This window comes from Homo sapiens, chromosome 6 (genome assembly GCF_000001405.40).
Source record: "Homo sapiens chromosome 6, GRCh38.p14 Primary Assembly".
In the NCBI taxonomy this organism is placed as follows: domain Eukaryota; kingdom Metazoa; phylum Chordata; class Mammalia; order Primates; family Hominidae; genus Homo; species Homo sapiens.
In genome coordinates, this window is record NC_000006.12 from 39,583,099 (window position 1) to 39,602,624 (window position 19,526).

Sequence of the window (19,526 nt, forward strand, 5' to 3'; positions counted from 1 at the left end):
ACATTCCTTCAAAGAAAAATCTCTAGCCAAATGCAAAAAACAAACAAACAAACAAACAAACAAAAACAAAACCCTCCAATGTCTAATATGTTTATTTTCCTTAAATTCTGAACTAGTTTTTGTCTTGGGGCTAATAACTTTGTTAACTCTCTTTCTCATTCAGCACTGTAATGCTATAGGGCTTCTGGAAGGGTAGGGACAGCAACAAAATCCACCCTAGCAGTTCAGTTCCACCTGAATCTTGACTTTGCATGCTGTCTCCTCTCTCCAGCAGGAACACTGTGTGATGCTGATACCTGACCAGGGCCTTTGCTGAAACAGATCCTGCCTCACTCATTGGTTTCTGCAGAAGAGAACTCCATCAGAGGAGCTTGGTGCTTTCTGAGGCAAGAAGAACATAACAGACAGCCCCATTATTCCTTTGTCCTCCTTCCCCCTCTGTCCTTCCATGGGGAGAAAGAGGAGAAAGGACAAACAATCAAGAGGAAGTAATTAATATGGGTAACAATTAATTTGTTGGTTTTTTTTTGATTTGAGAAATTTATAAGTGAAACACTGTTGGTAGGATTTCACTTCTTTTTTTTTTTTTTTTTTTTTTTTTTTTTTTTTTTTACAGTGCAGATTACTAAGCCCCTACCAGCTTATTTTCTAGAGAAATAAGAAAAACTGAGTGATTTGAAAAATGATGCAATCTTAATTATGGAATTTGATACAATTGAGATAGTTTAACATTTTCAATGTTGGCATAAATGGATTCAGTGTTGCATTTCATTTACAGAAAACTAACAAAATAGAGAACAGAAAATATCTGCATTTATGATGAGCTAAATTATTACCATGTAAATTTTTTTGCTTAAAAACAGTTCTTTGATAAAGCAGGATTTACTGTTATAAAACTAGAAGTTTGACAGATCAAGCCAATAATGAATTTTAAAAAACTCTAGAACAAATAACAGAACAAGTATGTAAAATATGGTTCTACTGAATGGCTATTAGGACTTTTCTTTCTTTCTGAGCTTTTATATAAGATGGACTATTATTGGCCCGGCGCGGTGGCTCACACCTATAATCCTAGCACTTTGGGAGGCCAAGGTGGGTGGACTGCCTGAGCTCAGGAGTTTGAGACCAGCCTAGGCAACTCAGTGAAACCCCGTCTCTACTAAAATACAAAAGAAATTAGCTGGTTGTGGCGGCGTGTGTCTGTGGTCCCAGCTACTTGGGAGGCTGAGGCAGGAGAATTGCTTGAGAGGCGGAGGTTGCAGTGAGCCAAGATTGCACCACTGCACTCCACACTCCAGCCTGAGCAAGACTCTGTCTCTAAAAAAAAAAAAAAAAAAAAAAAAAAAAAAAAAAAAAAAAAAAGACTATTATTGTCTCTAGATAGTTAAACTGATGTATTTTGAAAGGCTAAGTTCTGCATATAGATGTAATCATGTGTGGTTCTGTTGTATGAGTCCTTAGGATTCCCTGCATGTCTTTGAAGTGAAACAATGGGGAGCTGCAAGTAGGAAGAGCAAGTGGCTTTTGAGTTAGATTGCCTGCGTGTGAAGCCTGACTCTGCTACTTATTAGCACTTATGACTCTGAGCAAGTTATCAAACATCTTTTTACCTCAGTTTTGTCATCTTTAAGGTGGAGATAGAGATAGCATCTACTCATAGGTTATTTAGAGGATTAAATGAGTTAATATGTTTCCACTACTTAGAACATTCCCAGTACAGAGCAAGTGCACCTACAAGTTTTAGCTAATCTTTGATATACTTTAATATATTTTTTAAAATATCGTTAAAAGTTGCTTACTAATCTGGGGTTAATTTCTTCATTAAGAACAGCTTCATTCTTTATGAGTGCCACTCGCTGTGCAAATCTGCAGGTTGATATAGACTCCTAAGAAAGCAAAGTAACTTCTTAAAATATTATGGCATAGAGAGATATTTCTTTCTAGATAAAACTTATCTTTTATTCACAGAAAAAAGATACACACCTAAAAAGTGATGTGTATAAAACTCACAGTGAGGAACTATGCCCCTAAATTAGGAAGCTTTGCTCTAGAACAACAGTCCCCAACCTTTTTGGCCACAAGGGCCTGGTTTTGTGGAAGACAATTTTTCCATGGACAGAGGGTGCAGGTGGTGTGGTTTCAGGATGAAACTGTTCCAACTCAGATCATCAGGCATTAGATTCTCATAAGGAGCGGGCAACCTAGATCCCTCGCATGTGCAGTTCACAATTGGGTTCACGCTCTTATGAGAATCTAATGGCACCACTGATTTGACAGGCAGTAATGCTGGCTCCACCACCACTCACCTCCTGCTGTGCAGCTCAGCCCCTAATAGGCCACAGACCTGGTACTGGTCCATGGCTCGGGGGTCAGGGACCCCTGCTCTAGAACATTATTTTTTAACCAAATTTTATTTTGGCTTAATAAAATTACCAATGACAAAAAGTGAGAGATCACAAGGTCCTAAGTGGCAGCTGGTATAGTATGTGTTTTCAGTTGTTGATCACTTAGACCAGAACCACATATATAAATCATAATCATAGCAAGAGCCATAATCCACACACATGAAAGATCACAAAATAAAGATTCATAATAGGTCAAAAAGAGAGGTTTGTCAAGGCATCTTACAATCAAAGTCTTGGCCTTGTTTCCTCTTCTGAGGAGTGTCTGGATTCCAAACATTAAACATCAGCTGACTCTAAAGCAACCCAGAAGAGCCATTCAGCAGCTGGCTCCTGCCAAAGCATCCTGGTTGCTTCACTCAGCAACATTTCTAGGGACACATCTCAGAGATATCTCCAAGGTATCCGGATCTTAGTCATCAGGGCAAAATCAAGCAAGAGAAGCGGATGGGTCAGCTCTCCCATTTCTTTGGGTGACATTGCCAACCCATCAGTAGGCCTTCCAAAATCTGTGTATGAGGCTTCTTCAAACTATCCTGTGCTATGTGAAGTCAATTCTCAAATGGGGTTATTATAACAATGACCCACAAATAGCCCACAGCTATAACAAATAGCCCACAGCTGTGAACTCTGTAGGGTACTGCCCTCTGAAGGCATACCCAGCTGAAAATGTAGAAACCCACCCAAGAGCCTCAACTCCGTCTCACGTGCTAGCAGTAAAAACCTAGATTAAGATCTCCAGAAAGAAGAGCCCACATACATCAAGATTCCTTTTCTCCAAGGAGAGTGTTGCAATCATAGTTGTCATGCAGTTCCCTCCCAAACTGTCTCTTAGGACACTGGTCATCATGGAGTTTCTATAAGGAATGTGCGAACGGTGCTTTTCTGAAAGGGCAATGATAACCTGTGGTAAAGTAGAAAGATAATGGGATTAATTTAGCAAGAAAATGCACTCCTGACAAACAACAGAGCTTCAATAGCAATAAAAATGCAAAAGGAAATAATAACTAAATGCACGGTGAAGCCCAAAACTTAAGTACAGAATAAATATCTTGACAACAATATTCAGTACAAGATGGTGAAGACTGAATAAAGTAAATGTAGTGTAACTGTAGCATTGTGAGCCCCATAATTTTTGGACAAATGAAATAACCTGTATAGAACTGGATACACTATTATTCTGTTTTTAACGATTGGAAAATTTGTATGAAAACACAAGAGTAAAACATGCCTGATTACTTCAATTACTTTAATACTACCAAAATTGGGCTGTACACCAGTAAGCAAGAACTAAGGGAAACAGTATAGGATAGTGGTTGAGGTCCCAGATTCTCATGCAAGATTGTCTAGGTGCAAGTCCTGGCTTTCCTAGGGCACATCACTCAACATGCCTCAGTCTCCTCATCTGTAAAATAGGAATAAAAATAGTATCTACCTCACAGGTAGTTGAGATGATTAAAAGAGTTAAAATGTGCAAATTATTTTGAATAGTACCTAGCCCATAACAAGTGCTGTATATAGGTTTGCTCCCATTGTAAGCAATGGGTAGTTGACCTTGGTTCAATTCAGGCTTGCTCACCTTACTCTTCATGAGTTCCTTAGGTACTTAATAGGAAGGTACTAGATAGATGGATGGCAGATGGAGCAAAGGCTGCTGGGGTTGTCCCGAAAGGAGGCACCTGGGGCTCAGGGTTATCCCGGGCAGACAAATCCAGTGCTAGAATGTTCATTACAAAGCAGCAGGAATCAGCCACCCACAGGATGTGTCTTTAAGGGCATCACAAAGCCCTAGCTCCTGAGAATACCTCCGCCAATGCCTGTCATTGTTCTAGTCCTCCCTCCTTCCAGGTGTGTGATTTCCATCACCAGAACCTCCTCTACTCTTTTGGTTTACAAAACGAAAAGGGAGCATTGCTTTCTGAAGGCTGTTTTAAGCAACATATGTAACTATACCACTAGTCTCATTCTAAATTCATGACCACAGGTGTTGGTAAATTCAGTCATCCTGTGATCTCTCTCTCTCAAAAATCACTTTTCAGCTCTCAGAAATGAGACCTTCACACTTTTCTCCTTTTTCTTCAAACCTTTGTTCACCCTCTCCTCTCCTCAATTTCACTTCGAGCTGATGGCCACACTTCTACTAGATATGATAGATATAGATTCGGAACCCTGACCAGGACTATCTCATGTCTCCATCATTAAATCCCCTGTACATTCTGCCCTTCACCTTCTTATTGTCCTGCTCCTGTCTAAGGCCAGCCCTCCATCCTTGGCCTCATCTGCTCCCTCCTACTTTTCTCCTACAATTACCTCCTCTCTCTTCTGAATTAATTTCCCTTTCATCTGGACAATTCCCATTCTGCATGCCCACTACAGTCCTAAACTAAGATGGCTCTTGCCAAGGTCATCAGCAACCTTCATTGTACCAAGAGCACTGATTGCCATCTTACTAGACTTCTGAGCTGAGTAAGCATGCAACACTGGTACTCACTGCCTCCCTTGGGAAACACTTTGTTCACGTGGTAACTGGGACACTACACTTTCCTGGTTTTCATCTTTCCTCAAAAACTAGTTAATGAATGTTTCTTTTTTCTTATTCCCAAATTACAAACTTTGTAGTGCCCCGGGGCTCAGTTCTTGATCCTGTTTTCTGTCTTATCTACACTTTCTCCCTATGTAATCTCATCCAATCACCTGGCTTTAATTATTATTTAATTCATTTATTTATTTATTTGAGACAGAGTCTTGCTCTGTTAATGCTGAAGTGTGGTGGCACAATCTCAGCTCACTGTAGCCTTTGCCTCCTGGGTTCAAGTGAGCCTTGTGTCTCAGCCTCCGGAGTAGCTGGGATTACAGGCGTGCACCACCACACCCAGCTAATTTTTTGTATTTTTAGTAGAGTTGGGGTTTTGCTATGTTGGCCAGGCTGGTCTCAAACTCCTGGCTCCAGTGATCCACCCGCCTCGGCCTCCCAAAGTGCTAGGATTACAGGTGTGAGCCACTGTGCCCAGCCATTGCCTGGCTTTTAAATGCATTTATATCCTGATGTCTTCCCAATTTATACCATCAATCTCAACCTCTTCCCTGTGCTACTATCATCTTGGCAACTCTACATCTCCATCTGGATTTCTATTCTTGATTTTCTTTCCTCTCTGCCCCCAAGCCTGATTCTTTCCCAGATCTCACCCATTATTATTAAGGCCCCAACATCAACCCGGTTGCTCAAGCCAAAACCTTAGGCAATCATCCTTGATTTGTCTTCATCCCCAATATCCAATCCATCAGCAATTTCTATTAGGTTTACCTATAAAACTTGCCAAGAATTGGACCACTTCTTACCACCACCACTCCAGTTCAAACCTCTGGGATCCCTTGCTTGGGAAACCACACACGCCTTGGATTAGTCTCCCTGCTTCTACTTTTGCCCTTCCACGATCTGTTCTCCACACAGCAGCCAGAGAAATCTTCACACAATCTAAGTTATGCCAAGTTGCTCCCTAATACACTTAGCATAATATCCCAGCTCCTGTGTGGTCCATCCCTGTTCGACTTATCTGACATCATGTCCTGTCATGTTCCCTGGGCCTGTACTGGCCTTCTGACTGTTGATTCAGCCTGTCGAGCTTATCCCCACATCAGAGCCTCTGAAATTGCTGTTCCTTCTGCCTAGCATGCTCTTGCCCCAGATTTCCATACAGCATACAGCTTTCTGCTTCCATTATTCACATCTTTGCTCAAATTTTGTTTTCTCACAAGGGCCTTCCCTGGACACCCTATCAAAAATAATAAACCTATCTCCAGCCTGTTAATCTTTTTTTATTTTTCTTATACTACTTATCACTATTTAAAATTATATTTAGGTACTTATTTGTTATCTGCTTCCCCTCTAGGCTTTCTGCTCTGCAAGGCCAGAGACGTTGTCTCTCTTCTTCATAGCTCGACCCCCACTGCGGAGAACAGTGCTCAGCACTTGCTAACATGGCAGAAACAAAGCTGTCTCCCTCAGTTCTCGTGGCAGCCCTCATTCTAGTTTGACTTCCTATGAAATTACTTTTCCTAGTTGTCTTGAAGGTCATGTTTTGCTTAAGATGTAGCTCCACCAAGCAGACAGCCCTATGTGGGGTTTGGAGGTGAGCAGTGAGAGGTGGTAGCCATAAGGAGGAACATCAGATCTGCGGGGGGCATGGTGGCAGAGGCATCTGGTTCTTCTGAGGCAGTTGCAGGGAAGTTTCTGGAATCCAGTGCCATGTGGCTATACAGTAGTACTTTGCAGAGCAGTTTAGTGGTGTGGTTAGGTGTGTCTCCTGGTTGCTCTGTGTAGCAGCCAAACCCAGTTTTCTGACTTTTCTTGAGATTCTTTATGTTTAATAAACCATGCTTCTTAAAATAGCTAGAGCAGATTTTCCAGTTTACAATTAAGAAATTTGACAAATATAAAATGTGCTCAACAAATTTTTGTTAAGTAAATCAATGAATGCATGAGAAGATTACTTAGTATGTCCTAGGAAGGCAGTATGAAGGTCATCAGCATGGAATGAGGTTTGAGAGAACCAAGTTTCAGTGTAATTGGAAAGGAGGTGGGGAATATGGCAGACCCAAGTCAGAGTGGCAAGAGATGCCAAGCAGAACTCTAGCCTCTAAGAACAAAGAGGACAGATTAAGTATCTGAAACAGGCAAGGTGTGCCCAAATACCCAAACAGGGGCTGGGCTGACAGTTGTGCAGACAGTGTGGCATTATTGCTTATAAATAATTTCTCTAAGTACTTTGAAGTTCTTATATAAAACAAATTCACTTTTTTTCCTGCTCTAGGAAACAATATTGATGTCTTTTCATTCAATGGCTTTATTGACAACTTAGAGAACCTAAAGGAGAATATGCTTATTAAACTTCTTGATGATATATATATATGTGTGTGTATGTGTGTGTGTATATATATATATATATATATATTTTTTTTTTTTTTTTGAGATGGAGGTTTCACTCTTGTTGCCCAGGCTGGAGTGTAATAGCACAACCTGGGCTCACTGGAACCTCTGCCTCCTGGATTCAAGCGATTCGCCAGCCTCAGCCTCCCGAGTAGCTGGGATTATAGGCATGCAGCACCATGCCCAACTAATTTTGTATTTTTAGTAGAGATGGAGTTTCACCATGTTGGCCAGGCTGATCTCAAACCCCTGACCTCAAGTGATCCACCCACCTTTGCCTCCTAAAGTGCTGGGATTACAGGCATCAGCCACCATGCCCAACCCCTGTTGATATTAAATTAAATCATGTGTTAGTAAACTTGCTTTTGGTTGCAAGAAACAGAAAATGTAACCCAAACTGGTTTTAATTATAAGGGAAATTTATTGGTTCATGTGATTGAAACAGGAAAGGCTTTAGATTAGAAGGAAACAAAAGATTAATGCTACTATCAAGGACTTAGTTTTTGCCTATATCTCAGCTATATCTTCCATGTGGTAGAAGTCAGTCTCTTCTTGCGGCCCCACAATGGTTGCCAAAAGCCCTGATGTTATATACTTCCTTATTCATAACTTAGGTGAGAAAGAATTCTTTTTCCCTAATCATTAAACAAAATTCCTGAGGTTCAGTAGGCATGAGCGTGGGTCCTGGGCCCATCCTTGAACTAATCACTGTAGCCAGGAGAAAGACAGTCTCCAATTCACTTAGATAAGTCAGGATCTACCTGGGGCGCTGGGACGGGCTCCTGGCCGAGCTTCTCATTGTTATGGACATTGCAGAGGCAATTCCTATGTCCTCTCTAGAAAGGGCTCTCTAAAGAATTAGAGATCAAACTGGAATTATGGATTAGAAAATATAGTCTCAAAAATGGAGAAAATGAAGGCAGTCATCTTAGGGAAATCTCTTAAATAAAGTGAGCTTCTTAAATAAAGTGAGCCTCAGTTCCCTCACTCGTAAAAGTGGTATTGGAATGTCTATCTCACAAAAATGTTTTAAAGATTAATAGAGATTATTTCTGGAATAGTTCTTAGTAAGCAAAAAAGCACTCAGTGATATGGAAGGAAATGTTCTTTATGAAACGTTTGAAGACTGATCTTCATCATATAAACACAGTCCTGGGCCGTTTCTTTAGAAGAGGACCGTGAGAAGGTACCTTATCAGCTCTCAAGGAGCTTGAGGAATACTATAAGCCCAGCCCACCTGGAGCAGATGTAAAACTTTGGAATGACCCAGAAATGGCAGGTATTCAGGAAAGAGGCAGAGGTAGATTATTCTTTGTGAGGCTGGTGTGAGTTCTTAAATTGGGCAGGAGCCAAATGATCTGAAAGGCACAGGAAAATGCGGTGGTCATAAAACCTGACTTTTTGGCCAGGAGCGGTGGCTCACACCTGTAATCCCAGCACTTTGGGAGGCTGAGGCGGGCGGATCACGAGGTCAGGAGATGGAGACCATCCTGGCTAACATGGTGAAACCCCATCTTTACCAAAAATACAAAAAATTAGCCAGGTGTGGTGGCTGGCGCCTGTAGTCCCAGCTACTCGGGAGGCTGAGGCAGGAGAATGGCAAGAACCCGGGAGATGGAGGTTGCAGTGAGCTGAGATCATGCCACTGCACCCCAGCCTGGGCGACAGAGTGAGACTCCGTCTCAAAAAAACAAACAAACAAACAAACAAACCTGACTTTTTTTATTGTTTCCTTCCATCTTAGATTGCATGTACAAATACAATGGTAAATATTCCTGAAGTTATTCTCTAACTGACAAGGAGTAGAACCTCACATTATGCTTAATAATATCTCCAAGTACCTAGAAACTGTGCTTGCAATCAATAATTCTATTTACTATTTAATGAGTTAAAGACTTTAAACAAAAAAGAGCTCAGAAGTGTTTGGAAAATTATCCTATGAAAATTGACAAAATTTGGAGTGTTACAATTGGCACTGACACCATTACTTTTTCTCCTAAACACAACACATTCAGTTGGAAACTAAATGGAAACTAAAACTCTGAGAAAGTCCCATTTATGTTGAATAAATGGCTGAAGGCAACTCTGATTCTGATTTCCATAGCAGTACAGAGCAAGCACTTCATTTCCAGTGGTTTCTCACTTGATGTTTGGGCTGATAGAGGCTGTGGGTCACACCGGGAGCACTCAGTGAGATTTAGGACAAGTATGTATGTCTCCCTTTTCCTCCCATGAACTCAATTTCTAAGGCCAAGATGTACCCTGTTATTGTGGCTTAAAATGTTTTTGAGGAAACTTTTTGGAAAAAGTACTGCATATACAAGGAGAACTCCAAAACCAACCATACTCTGGCAAAAAGAAAGTTATTTACTTGTGAACACAATAAAGTCCATTCAACTCAGAGAGGTTGCACCCTTTGAGCAGGTGTGAGGTCTCACAGTTATGGCCAAAAGAGTAATTATAATGCTGCATGGAATTTGTGGAACCAATGTAGGCTAATTAAGGTAAAGCAAGTTACCAAATGGTTTCCCATTCCATCTCTGTCTTATATATTGAAACCGAGAGAGGGGATAGGGATATAATTGATTACCAACACTCACATGGATTTCTATTATAGGTTTTAAATTACTATATTGCTAAGTATTTATTTGTATGCTTTGCTGTTCTGCTGGCTAACATGATAGTCCTGCCTACTTCTCAGTCATTCATTTATCCTCATTGTCTAACGTAACTCACAGCACCCAGTAAACATTCAATCACAATTTGTTGAATGAATGAATGAATGAAGCTAATTAAACTAAATTGTGTTACACTTCCAGTCTCATTAGTGCCATAATAAAGTACTACATAAAGAGAAATTGATTAACAAAAGTCCTTGAATTTTGTTATTCATTAAACATCTTCCCACTCTCTTTATTATTCTTATTCCTATGTACCGTTTGGTTTTCTCTTCTTTCTGTGTGAAATTCAAAAATTTCTCTTCTACCGACCTACTTGCTCTCTAGCAGCTACTCCTAGATTTACTCAGCCTAACATCTCCATGTTCACAGATGAGTTTTTCCATATTTATGTTCTTTCCTCTCCCACTAATCTCTTCTCTATTATCTTATGTTGAACCTTCTATTTTCCTGTGAAGACACTTGTGTATCAGTGTAAATGGCTAACAGCTGGAGTGATGCAGTGGGTGAAAATGAAACATCGGTTACAGAGACCAAGGGGCAATGACATGTGAATGTCATTGAGACTCTGAGCAAATTCATCCCCCTGGGCTGGAACTAAGAGCTGACAGGCTTGCAATTCCCACTGCCTGACATGCTCTGCCCCATCCTTGATTGGCTCGCCTCTATTCATTCCTCTGCGTGGTATCAGGCCCTAAGAAAACCATCTTCAACTCTCACCTCCTCAGTCTGAGTCAGATACCCTGCTACAAGCTCCTCTCACTCCTTTTACTTTCTCTTCACTGCTCTCACCTGGCTTACAGCCACATACTTAAAGATTACATCTTTAATTCATGTCTCCCTGCACTAGACCATGAGGTTTTTGGGGAAAGGACTGTTTCTATTTTGTTCACACTAGGCTCCAGTGCCTAGCACAGCCCTCAGCACATGGTAGGTCATTATAAATATTTGTTTGATAAATAACTTAATGATATAGAAAATCCAATGCCACATAGCCCCCAAGACTACTCACACGAGGCTGTCATTAAGAATTTTGAAGAGAAGAAATGTGAGGAGAGGAATAGTTTTAGTGACACATAGCAGTTTGCAAAGGCTTATAGAATTAAAAAAAAAAAAAGAATTAAGGGCAGAACATTTCTCTTGAGTGATTACAATTGGTGGGAAGTCTGATTCAACTGATGAACCTAATTTTGCATGAACAGATGGATATAATGGAAATTAAAACAGACAGTGCTACCATCCAAAACAAGCAGACACATTTCTTTGAAATAAAGCACTTTGAATACAGTCCATTATGTTTTCATATCAATGTTCTATAAGTGTTCTATTAAGTAAAAAGCTCTGTTAAGCATAAGTAGTGTGTAATATTTGAGCAGGAAAGAGCTTAGGAATGCTGACTCTTGTTAAAAACACTAGAATGATCTGAATACCAGGCAGGCCTTAATCTCTTGGTGCTGCCTGACTGGGATTCATCTGGTTGGAGTGTGGCCATGTGCACCTTGTTCAGATAGGGTCCCTTAGGTTTCTCTCCATCTGCGTTTTTAGCCAATGTGATGATTACATAGCATTTAACATCGAGGCAACATCAGTCTCAGAAGGATTCATTAAGCAGTTAAAAAAAGGTTTTATTTTTTTCCCCTCTAATCTTTTAGCTGCAACATTTGTTAACAAGTCCTTCTGCCTCACAAGACTCTGTACTTCTCCACTCCAATTTTTGATCATGTTTCTTATTTTTTATTTTATTATTTTTTTTTAGAATTTGGAAGTAGTTGCCATCTTTAACATTCATCTCACAGCCCTTATACTCAAAAAGCTAAATGGAACTTGAGAAATCATCTAATTCAATCCACTCATTTTAGAGATGAATTTTTTTTTCTGAAAGATTTATTTAGCTAAATTCAGATGAATGTTCTCTCCCCTGGCATTAAATTCAGAAATTAAAAATAGAGCACATACTGGGGTAGATTGTAATCAGCCTGGGGTAGAAGTAGGAAGGGAAAGCTACAAGGCTAACAGAACCATCATGGGGTCAAAATTACCAACTAAATGAAGTCTCCCCAAACAGAAAACATGTCGGTTATCTCAAAGTCATGTTCCCATCGTTAATCTACTAGCCTGAAAACAGGCAAAAGGAAGCCATTTGTAACCTCTATTTACACCAACTACTAAATTTTACAATAAAGCAGTAAGACAAAAAGTGAAAAAAGGTATAGGCTGTGAAGCCAAGTAAATCTAGGTTCTAATCTTCACCCTCCCCTAGCTGGGTAATCTTGTGGGAAGGCCTTTGGAAGACTTGAATTTTAAAATCTGTAAGAGGGGGATAGTAACTAACACCTACAATGTAGGGCTGTTGTGACGTTTCAATAAAATGGTATACACAAAATGCTAGTAGATCTACCAATGTTTCTGGCAGCATTATTCACAATAGCCAAAAGGTAGAAACAATGCAAATACCCATCAAGAGATGAATGTATAAACAGCATGTGACGCAGACATACAATTGGATATTGTTCAATTTGAAAAAGGAAGAAATTCTGATACATGCTACAATATGGATGAATCTTGAAAACATTATGCTAAGTGAAATAAACCAGACACAAAAGGACAGATGTTGCATAATTCCACTTACACGAGGCACCTGAAATAGGCAAATTCATAGAGACAGAAAGTAGAGTAGAGATGACCAGGGACTAGAGTATAGGGGAATGGGGATATTCTGTCTGATATTATAAAAGACTTTCAGAAATGGATAGTGCCAATGGTTATACAACTTTATGAATGTACTTAATGCCATTGAGTTGTACACTTAAAAATGATTAAAATGGCAAATTTTATGTTATATATATTTCATCATAATAAAAAAAATTCTAATAGAATGCCTGATACATAGTATGTGGTCAACACATGGTAGCTATAGTTATTAATACATCCCACTCTGCCCATTTTACCTGTTCTAAGTAATGTAGTGACAAGTTGATATACTTGGCCTCTGTTAGAAGATGGCCCCCTACTCCAGTCTTTGCAACTCGCTCTGAACCAGCCAGGTCAACCAGATGGAGTTTGGCATGTCGTACAGTTGCAGATCCTGGTTCCTTGCTTGACAAATGAATGGTGAAAATGCAGTGGGAACGGGTTGAAGCTTGGTTCATAGGAGTCTATAAAAAAATTGCAAAACAAAAATTATTTGAACAATGAAAATTTTTAAAGAATATCAAAAGATTTAAAATAATATTTCTAGTGATAAGACATTTCCCATGAAGCCAACTGTCAACTGGAGCAAAACCACTTGTAACTGAGACCTTTAAAGTAAGTTCTTTTTAATGTATTACCTCTTGGATTACTGATGACAAATGTGGATGGGTTGATTCAGAAAGTGAGAAAAGAGTTCTAATGAGGTATAGATCAAGTCCTCTTGCCAATATAACTTTATTTCATTACCTGTCTATAATCCATGCATTAACCTTGGCTTAATGCTTGAAAATGCTTAATGTTAATCTCATGGGAAAAGAGGTGAGAATGTGTGTATCAGAAAAATTCATGATCACAATTGTAAACAAAAGCCACAGACAAAGAAACCTACCATCACTGTTACTACTCAACACTAAAGTGGAGGCCCTAGACAATACAATAAACAAGAAAAAGAAATAGAAGGCATAATAGTAGGAAAAGAAGAAATTAAAAATGTCACTATGTACAAAAAAATATGGTGGTCTACATAGAAAATGCAAGAGCATCTCCAAACAAATGGCTTAAGAACTAAAAAGTTTAGCATGGTTGCTGGATATGAGATGAATATATAAAATCAATGAGGTTCTAATAACTCAGAGCAATGATTAATCAGAAAATATAATATTATTCACAATGGCAAGAAAGACAATGAAATAATAAGGGATGAATTTTCTAAAGGATATGTAATTTATAGGAAAAATGGTAAGATAATATTAAAGGACAAAGAGAACTGGAGTAAATGGTGTGCAGGATATTAATGCACCATTTCATAGATGGGAAAACTCAAAATTAATCTATATGTAAATGTCTATATATTAACCTATATATTCAATGCAATTGAAATAAAAATGCTACAGGTTTTGTTTACAGAAAAAGACAAATTGATCCTAAATGGCATACAGGAAAGAAATCTTCAAATAAAATGAAAAGTAATGCTGTTTGCACTTCCTTACTAAAGTTGCTCCATCAAAAAATAAAAAGAAACAAATGAAAAGTAATTCTGTGAAAGAATAACAATAAAAGGGGACTTTCCTGCCATTTATCAAGGTATACCACAAAGCTACAGTAATTAGAACAGTGTGGTGCTGGTGCTGGTGCAGGAGCAGACAGCTAGGTCAGTGAGACATGCTGTGCTCACTGAGGAGCTCTGTATGGGACAGATGTGACATCATACCACAGCAAAGAAAGGATGCACTGATTTAGTAAAAGGTGCTGGAATAACCAACTATCCATCTTGAAAAAAATAAACTTAGATTGCTTCCTTACACAATGCACACAAAGAAATTCCAGAATAGATTAAAGCTTTAAGTGTGAAATAACACAACTTTAGCACCAATACCATAAAACATGGAAGCATATTGTAATCAACCCAAGGAGGTAATGGATACTTTAAGATATAAAACACAAAAATAAATTGATTTAAAATATTTGACCAAGATAATCCAAAATGTAAAAACTTCAGTGTGATAAAATCCATCATAAAATTAAAGCACTAGAAGATATTTGCAATACATATGGCTGACAAAACATTAATAATAAATAAAGGACTCGGCCGGGTGTGGTGGCTCACGTCTGTAATCCCAACACTTTGGGAGGCTGAGGTAGATAGATCACTTGAGGTCAGGAGTTTGAGACCAGCCTGACCAAAATGGTGAAACCCCGTGTGTACTAAAAATACAAAACAAAACAAAACAAAACAAAAAACAAACCAGGATTGGTGGGGCATGCCTGTAATCCCAGCTACTTGGGAGGCTGAGGCAGGAGAATACCTTGAACCCCGGAGGCAGAGGTTGCAGTGAGCCAAGATAATGCCACTGCATTCCAGCGTGGGTGGCAGAGTGAGACTCCATCTCAAAAATAAATAAATAAATACATAAATAAAATAAAGAACTCTTGCAAATCAGTGAGAAAAAGTAAGCAAAGAATATGACTAGGTAACTCATAAGGAAGAAATCTGGAAATGGTTAATGAATATTTGATAAAATGCTCAAATTTATACATAATCAGAACCACATAACTTAGAACCATAAGGTTTAAAAAATAAAGTCTAACAAAATAAGTGTTGTTGGAGATATAAGGAAATGGGAAATTTTGTGTACTGCTTGTGGAAATATAAATTAAGAATAAATTTTGAGAGCAATCTGATAATATGTGGCGAAGTTCCAAATACATATAACACACAGCCATCAATAAACTACTAGATATATTTCCTAGAGAGAAATCTTGGGCAGGTATACATATATATGTGTGTGTGTGTGTGTGTGTGTGTGTGTATCTATATATCTATATATCTATATATGCGCAATATGCGATAAGGACATATATATGTGGACATTCACTGCAACATTATTAGGGTTAGCAAGAAATTGGTGCAAGACGCACAACCTAAGTAGACATCTGTGGCAGAAAAGATTAGTAAACTGAGATAATTCAAATTACAGAGATGTTAAAATAAAGCAACTTGGGATAGATTGACATAAATGGATTTCTAAAATAGAATGCTGGGAAAAAATAGCAAGTTAAATAATGATATGAACATTATGATAGAATTTACATAATTAAAAAAGCAATATTATCTATTGTTCATGAAGCTATAACTTAGGTCATTAAGTATAAAAACATGGACCAGAAGCATACGGCAAATTAATGATAGCAGTTGTGTTTGTGAGGGATGGAAATGAAAGGCCAAGAAAGGGACTTCAGCTTTATCTGCAATATTCTATTTCATTTAGTTAAAAATTATTAGAAGCAAATCCTGGATTGGAAAACATGGATGTTGGTTACATTATTCTCTGTACTTTTTTGTGTTTTACATTTTTTGGAACAAGAAAGAAATTAATCTGATTCAAGATACAAGTGACAAGTTAGTAGTATCATCCTCTCAACAAAAAAACTAAAAATATTCCAAATGAGTATTCATATGAGTAAATATGTTCAGATCTCCACCTTTGCAAAATGAGATTTAAACAAAGAATTTCAATATGGATGCACATGTGTGCAGACAGAGTAACACATTTGAATGGCAATTCAACCAGAAATTCTTTCTGTAAATATAAATTCTTGATATACACCAGAGTTGATTTACACCAACTAGCAAAATAAAAAGATGTCAAAATGCTGGCATAGTTTTGGTGATGATGATGTAGCTAGTGAGTCAAACAGGCTGAAAATTTGACCCATTACTTGTTGCCACAATAACTATGCCCAAACCTGGCCAGTGTGTGATTTTGCCTGCTAAAGTGGATCAGCAAATAACTGTGCATGTAAAACCGCAAACTCAAATTTAGAACCTAAGTTGAGGTGTTTTGGAAGTGACTGTAAGTTATTTGCAGAACTTAAACATGGGTTTCATTTCACTGTGATAGTCGCACAACAATAAATCCTACAATACTGTAACAAAAGTCAAACTGACAATCAATATAAACAAATAACATGGAGACTTCTCAACAGCTGTCTTTAGCTTCGAAACTGATATTCTGAAACCACCATAAAATGTGAGCCATAAACGAATACTGGTAGAGTGTACCCATTTCAAAGGAATATGAGATTCACATAAACTAAAATTGTATATTCTGGAGTCTGTAATTAAAATGCAGTAATATGCTGTAGGAGTCCGTGCCTACAGTTTTGTAACTTCTCATAAATATTTTCTGCATGAAGTAGCAGTTGGTGTCCTCTTAGATAAAAATTTCTTAAACCTCAGAAAACATTCTTTATGTGGAGCTTTTTAAGTGTTATTGGATGTGCTGTGTCTGCTCTGTGTTTATTTAAGGATGTCTTTATGTCTCATAGGCATGGCCCTATGTTTGTCCTTTTAAAGGTAAAATTGTATTAAAATGTTTCTGAAACTGCCTAAGAACAGATGGCACCATTTAGGCAGATTCATTCAAAGTTAAGCACACATTTTAAACAAATGTGCTTTTGGCACTAGCGACTGTGCCTTTGGAAAAATTTTAGTGATGATTAATCACCTGCATGCAGAGAGCTTTCACGTTTCCTATTAGCCTATGTATATCACTGTGTTAGGCAGTACAGAGACAAGAAGGAAAATAAGACCTGGATGTTGCCCTCAAGGAACTTACAATCTAGTCAGGATCTAAAGCCACAATGTGTGAAATGAGAATGAGCATGAAATGAGAAAAGCAAAATGTGCAGTAAAGAAAGTGATCTGTTCTTAGCAATGAACATGCTGATCCTCTAGGTAATATCTGAAAATGCTAGCCATTCCCTCATTCTAGGAGCTCGCCACCCTCTGCCCACCACCTGGTTTCCAGTGCCAAATACTCTCCAGTCACTTTCTCCTTCTCTATCGCTTTTTCCTTTACTCTGCTCTCTTCTTTGCAGTCCCTAAAAATAGGTGTGTCCTAAGCTATGGTGACCATATTTCCTCCCCTTGGAAACTCATCTTCTACAGCTCAAATCCTCATTGCATAGGCTCTGTAGTGTAATAAAAATCACACACCAAAAATCTCAGAATTTGGTGTCAGATAACCTGGTTTCAAGTCCTGGTTCTGTCACTTACTAGTGTTAAAAGCTTACTAGTGTTATAAGCAAATTTACATGAAGTAATTTTGATTTTCATGTTTCTAGAATGCCATATTAAGACCTGCTTCATTGCAGGGAGTTATATTAAATACCAACTGAATTACTGAGTGCTGAAGTGATCTGGGAAGTGTAAAAGGTCATATTAACGTCGCTGTTGATATTCACTTTATTCAGATGCCTCCTGTATCCTTATCTCTTACCTCAATTGTTCTGTATAGCAGATTGGAATGTCCAGCAGTTTGACTGATCATTGTCATTAAAATGTCTTACCAGCATCTTGTACATAATGTTCCCAAAACAACTGTATCTCCTTCCCTCCCTCTGTGTCCCATGGATGGATATCCAACCCATCCTACTCCTGCTGGATTTCTTTCCACTTATCTGTATCTCCCCCAGTAGCCAAATATCCTTTATCTCTCACTTGGGTTACTGTAGTCTCTCCCTTCTAGTCTCAGTATTTACTCTTGTCCCTTCCAATTGTTCTCCATCTCTCAGACAAAGTAGTATTGTTAAAAGGCATATTTGATTAATGCCAATCCTATCTACATCACTGAATTAAACTAGCATGCTCCCTAAGACTAAATATCTCTCTTCCTCTCAACTGGGCCTTATGCAACTGTTTATCAAAATCCTTTTTAAATATGGTACTCTGGCACTTGAATTGAATATATTATTATTTCAAAAGTAGCCTAACCACAGCAGAGGACATTGGATGTATTACTTCCTGGAACCTGGACAATCTAAATCTAATATTGCCAGTAAATAGCACATCACATGAAGTGTTACTATACCGGATTTGCTCCAGCCCTTACATGCTATGGAATTTCTTTGGGACACACACACACACACACACACACACACACACACATTAGTTTATTTCATGACTGCATTTGATTAGTTTTTATGTCAACATTACAATCTATTGGATCTTGGTCTTTTTGTCAATTTTGTGCTATCTACAAATGAAAATATCTTGTATATTCTCATCCAAACAATGTGTAAGACATGAAGCAGTGGGGCAGACCAACAACATTCCCAGAAGACCACCTCTGCTCTCCACCCGGTTAGGTAACTGTTACAGGTATTCTACAATTGACTTCAATCCAAGTACTTTTATTACCTTCAATTTCTCTTTATATCCCCAAGGATATTTTGAGAGATAAAAAAAGAATTGATTTGATCTATAAAATTTTAAATGCTATCAGAAAAGTGAATGAAATTAGTTTAAGGTAAAATCAATGCTGACTTTTTCTTAATAGCTTACTGACCATTATTTAATAATCCTTTATCAGTTTCTTTTTTAGGGCTTGTATCAAAAATATTAGCTTGTTATCTTCCATATATGTTTTCTTTTTCGGAAAATGGAGAATAGACTTTCTTTTATGGGGTGAAAATTGAAAAACCTAGGCTCACTGGACTCCTTACAGAGTCATCATATCTGCAGTCTATGGTTAAAGAAAGTTATTTTTCCTCTTTCTTATCTCCAGTGTAGCAAAACTTTACTTCTCACTGAAGTTCCATTCATCTGAAAGATTACTTCCTACAAAGCCTCTCCATTTCCCTCTTCCTCCCTCCTAGACTTCAAGCTCCTTGAGGACAGGGACTGTGTCTTATGCGTCATTGCCTAGCATAACACAGTAGTGTTAAAAATGTTTGTTAATTTGTTGACTCTTGCTCATTTCTTGTGTTCTGGAATCTCTACAGCATGCTCCATAATTTCTAAAAATCTTCAAATAATTCTGTGAC

General features: G+C 38.3%; 1 protein-coding gene across 9 annotated transcripts in view; it reads right to left on the reverse strand.

The window, feature by feature from the left end:
- Positions 1-19,526, reverse strand: part of KIF6 (kinesin family member 6) — a 395,419-nt gene that overhangs the window by 253,109 nt on the left and 122,784 nt on the right. For all 9 annotated transcript variants that reach the window (XR_001743238.2, NM_001289020.3, NM_145027.6 and 6 more), the window contains exons 7-9: positions 12,956-13,162; positions 3,163-3,306; positions 1,800-1,886 (exon numbers count right to left, since the gene is read on the reverse strand). Coding sequence is in view for 8 of the 9 variants with exons in the window: in NM_001289020.3 (NP_001275949.1) it covers positions 1,800-1,886; positions 3,163-3,306; positions 12,956-13,162 (438 nt within the window). In the remaining variant the exon portion in view is untranslated. The remainder of the gene's footprint in view (positions 1-1,799; positions 1,887-3,162; positions 3,307-12,955; positions 13,163-19,526) is intronic.